The sequence below is a fragment of the Homo sapiens genome, chromosome 21, assembly GCF_000001405.40.
Source record: "Homo sapiens chromosome 21, GRCh38.p14 Primary Assembly".
Taxonomy (NCBI): Eukaryota; Metazoa; Chordata; class Mammalia; order Primates; family Hominidae; genus Homo; species Homo sapiens.
The window spans coordinates 30,079,151-30,084,341 of record NC_000021.9 but is presented as its reverse complement, the minus strand read 5'-3'; the positions used below and the strand labels follow the sequence as shown (position 1 = coordinate 30,084,341).

At 39.3% G+C, this 5,191-nt stretch overlaps 1 annotated feature.

The window, feature by feature from the left end:
- Window positions 877–1,171: a silencer, noted in NCBI's record as "tiled region #8261; HepG2 Repressive non-DNase unmatched - State 24:Quies". NCBI's record gives its function as "represses a minimal TATA promoter and a strong SV40 promoter by Sharpr-MPRA in HepG2 cells {active_cell/tissue: HepG2}" and the evidence as "EXISTENCE:reporter gene assay evidence [ECO:0000049][PMID:27701403]".

The window sequence follows — 5,191 nt, the reverse complement described above, 5'->3', positions numbered from 1 at the left end:
AAAAAAAAAATAGACTTCCAAGAAGAAACATATTTATTCTTGGTATTAGGATTGGAGAAAATTTTCTGGGTCCTTATGAACAGAAGACAACTGCTAATGGAGTATGCCGCATCCTCAAAAGACATGATTTTTTTGAGGTGGTAAAGAAAGACATGATTTGCATAACTCTGTTTCTTTGGAAGTTATTTGCATGAGAAAAACGTGTCATGGAGATGGGGATAGCAATTTCAGGTGGATAACATAAAATGGCCCAGATGAGTTCTGAGTTCCTTTCTGTTCTGGCTTACACAACAGGTTGAGTTTTAAAGCATAAAGGAATAGACACATCTGCCTGGTATTTGTCCATCCACAGTGTTTCTCTTGCTTCAGCTTTGGCAAAACACTGATGACAAGTTTTAGATCCTATTCTCATATAAGAACCAAAAATGCAGCTCTCCCATACTGACCTTTCCTGAGTGGTGAGGAATGTGATGCAAACAGATACTTAAGCAGAAGTCACCCTGCTCCTACAAGCAGGAATCCCAGGAACCTGAAAACAGAGTCAAAGTCATCACCCAGAACTAATTCCAGCTCCACTTTAACAAGCAAACCAGTGACCAATCAAGACCTCAATTCTCATCACTATAGCACCCGTGGCAACCACTTAACTCCAGAAAAGTCACTGTGATGCAGGACAGGCAAGCCCCCAAACTGGGGCTTAGAGAGGGAGGGTTCTTGGCTTTGCCCAGGAAAGAATTCAACGGTAAGCTGGTGGTGTTAAACAGGTGGGTTAAACAGCAATTTGTATTGAAGCAGCAGTGTACAGCAGCAGACGTACTGCTCCTTAAGACCAGGACTACCCTACAGGCAGTGTGCCCAGAAAAGCAGCTCAGAGGCACTTCAGCAGTCCTGTTTATACTCACTTTTATTTATATGCAAATTAATGGGTGGTTTATGCAGAAATTTCTAGGGAAAGGGTGGTAACTTCTGGATTGTCAGGTTGTTGCCATGGAAAGAGACAGTAACGTCCAAGTGTTGCCATGGCAATGGTAAACTGACATGGCACCCTGGTGGGTGTGTCCATGGAAAGCTGCTTTAGCCTTGGCCCTGTGTAAGCTAGTCCTCCATTTGGTCCCTTGTGAAATCTCCACCTCCAGAGTTGAGTCTGGCCTTTTACCTCAAATGTACACAAATGATGATGACCTTACATTATTAAAAACAGTAGCAACAACAAAAAAACAAACAAAAACCAAACAAAAGCGAAACTCATTAACAACCAGAGCCTGTCAAACAGTAGGTAATGTAAATTTAAGGTGTCCTTCCGAATTAAAATGTTTAAAAAATTAATTCAAAGATAGGGGAAATCTTTCATTGTTTAAGACAGTTGGGGATGCAAGTTGGATAAGTAATATGGGGCACCCAAAATGATGAAGCTTTATTTAGAATATTTGGTTGTATTTTATTTTTTCTTGTTAGTAATTAAATAACATGACTAGTTTTCAACAAAATCCATTCTATTTCATGACAATAAAGCCAGGCCATCTGCATATATAACTGCGCTCTCTTTCCGCTTGCTCTAGTGAAGAAGTCATCATGAGCTACAATGAAAATGATACAGAGTAGTTAAGATAAGTGAAAAAGAAATGATGTCCATGTTTTATCCCTCTGGAAAAATTATCTCAACTCTGAAAGGATTGTTTCTACTGAGCCTGAACTTCAAAATGGGTTCTGTATAAACGTTAATAAATACAGTTCTATGAGCTCTTGGATTTTAGCCTTGAGGTTATTACAGTCTCAGAAAAAGGCTGAAGAAAGGTCATTTAGAATAACCACATGTTATATTTTACTCTAACAAGGTGATAAAGAATATAACTGAAAAGCTACCAACGAAATGAAGATTATGAGAAAGTTGAAATTACCTTGAACCTACTCTCATATATTCTTGGTGTTTGGGACTGCTACAAAATGTAAGGAAGCATCATAAATCTAGAAGAAGGTTCAACTTAACGACAGAAGCCTGAATGTGCCAGTAGGTGAGATTCACCTCTTAGGACTGTCAGATAAACAATAAGATTTTTATTTTAATTTTTTTCAATATCAGCGTACCCCAAATACTTCATGGGACATACTCACACTTACAAAATATTGTTGTATATCCGAAATTAAAATGTAACTGGGTGTCCTGTATTTATCTAGTAAATTGGGTGACCCTACCCTCCCTCTTTTGAGACTCACTTAAAATTTCAGAAAAATAAGAAAACAACAAGTAAATCCACAACTGCAAAGAAAGTGTGTGTTGGGGGATTGGTGAAGGCATCAGCAGAGGGAGATAGTTAAACAAAATGGTCTGAAAGAAAGCAGGTGGAATAATGTTGGCAAAGCAAAATGTAGAAAGTTGGCTGCCCAGAATTCCTGAGATGGAATTGCAACCGAGGCAGCTTTCCTGCCCGGCAGCACCCTGGAAAGGTCTGGTCATAGAGAGGATGAACGGAATTGGAAGAAAAGCTGTACCCCAAAGAGTTGTTCTCCTATATATCCCAGTATCACATGCAGAACTGCAGACAGCTAAGCTTTTATATCTCCTGCCAATATAATAAAAATAACCATAGTAACAAACAGCTCTTTCCCAAAGCAATGGAAAGAAGCATTTGGCAGAAATAGGCAGATATGATAGACTGGTTGCTCTCCACCTGGGACTGGTTTCTCAACATCTCACCCTAATGCAAAGCCTTCCCAGCATGTACGAAGAGCTCAAAAATATTTAACAATAATAATGACAAAGATACTTAATACTAGGACAGTCAGTCAGGCCAAGCACAAACAATGCTACATGAATATTGCTAGGTAGCAGCTCAACAAAGGGAAATGGAGATTGTTCAGACTTGCTTCTCCAGGACAGAAAATCAAGCAGGGATTCAAGATAGAGACTAAATTGAAGAATGTGTGTGCCTCTGGATGGAATAACTTCAGTGCTTTACCTCTTGAAAAATTAAAGTTCTGGACAATGAGTCTGAGAAGCAGGAGGAGCCCTGACATATATCGTAGCTGTGTTTTTATTGTGAGCCTCCACAGTAAAGGATTACTGCCTTTTAAGAGAAGAGCCCCTTTACCACTTACGGCACATTCAGAAGTGAGCTTCTGTATGATTAAAAGCCTTTATCAAAAATATCCCCATTGGATAACTGAATCTTTCTGTCAAGCGTATTCATAATTAATTGACACTAACGAAAAGCCTAGAGGTGCCAGTGGCCCTTTACAAGCTATTAATAAGAATGCATTGTATTGGGAGGCTGAGGCAGGTGGATCACAAGGTCAGGAGTTCGAGACCAGCCTGGCCAAGATGGCGAACCCTCATCTCTATTAAAACACAAAAATTAGCTGGGTGCGGTGGCAGGTGCCTGTAATCCCAGCTACTTGGGAGGCTGAGACTGGAGAATTACTTGCACCCGGGTGGCAGAGGTTGCAGTGAGCTGAGATCGCACGACTGCACTCCAGCCTGGGCAACAGAGTGAGACGCCATAAAAAAAAACAACGAATTGTAATTAAATTAAGGCTTGTCCAGCATTTTTTTTCATAAATATTTGAAAATATGACTTTAGTAACTAAAAGTATTTAAAGAAAATATGGAAGGCAGAGAGAAAAAAGTGTAGCTTTCTGAACTATACACACACACACACACACACAAATATATCACTTAGGTGAGATTTTCATCTCATTTTCACATACAATTTTTTTTTTGCTCTGCAACCTATATGGGACCACACATTGAAAGAAGTAGATTTTCTCCTGAAAGATAAATAGCAAGTTTCTGGAGAAATGAATGTACAAGCATTATGCAGAATTGTTTGCTCTTTAGAAATTGTTCATGTGAAAAATTACACTGCAAGCTACAGAAAGCCTATAGAGGCTAGGGAGGAAAACCAGTGACCAACAGACCAGTAAGATGTCTTTATTAGGAGAAGACACTCAAATAGCCAATGAAAAGTACACACCTGAGGTCTCTGAGAAGAAAATTCACCCTTATTCAAAAGGAGCAATGTCAGTTTCAGTCTAAAACCTGAAGACATTGTTGAGTTCCAGAGAATGGATATTCTAGGTGCTAATCAACTTTTCTTGGCCCTGACAGAAAAAAATCATCCAGGGTTCTTCAGGCAAAACTTTCTTGCCTTATTAATTAAAGCTACTTAATTAAATGTATACATGAGATAATAAAACTCTCCCATCCAGAATAGACTATAGATGTAAGAAGTGTGAAAACAAGTAATGTTAGTAGAAAGCTTGTTGTTGAAACCAAGCAAGGAGTATATTTCTTTACTAATTTGAAGAAGAATTAGAGGTTTTGTTTGTAAGGTTTTTGTTGTTTTTCAATCTATTGTAATTAAAAGGCATTGCAGAAGCAAAGGTATATTCTGATGAACTGAAGTCTCAGACTCCACATACCACTTTTCTTTATTATTTTGTCTATTCAAGGGCAGATGTTCCATATTTGTGGGAAGATCTAAGCAGAAAGAATTAAGTGGTAGACTATGTTTTCAAAGATTGACATCTGTTTTGTTAAAACCATTGAACCAAACACAGTATTCAAAACCAAAAGCCAGTTTAGGATGGTTTTCTTTGTTAAAGCAATAGTAGGGCATGCTCTAGCTTTTCCACACAGAGAAATATGTTCGTTGATTTAAAAAAATATTCCTTGTACTTTCTCTCTCCCTCCATTTGCAGTTCCTCCCTTTAAGAGATGGAGTCTGTTTCTCTGCCTTAAGTTGACCTTTGGACTTATTTTGGTCAATAGAATGCAGTGAAAGTAACCATGTGCTGAATCTAAGGCGGACGTCAGTGGCTGTGTGGGTTTCCATGCTCTCTCAGAACTCCATCACTGTCCTGTGAACAAATCCAGGCTAGCCTGCAGGAGTGAGACACCATATGAAGAGATCCCAGTTATCACAGCTGAGGCCATCCTAGACTTGTTTGCAGCCAGTTGATTCTGGAGAACGTGAGAAGGACCAGCCAAGGTCATCAGAGCCACGTTTGCCACACCCACAGCTAACTGAAGCTATGTGCCTGGGCCCAGCTGTGACCAGAACTGCTCAGCTAACCTGGAGACTCATAAGCAATAAAGGATACTTTTGGGTCTATAATCCACTGAAATTTGGTTGGCTTGTTACACAGCAATAGCTAACTGATACAGGACAGCAGTGGTAGATTTAGAGACCAA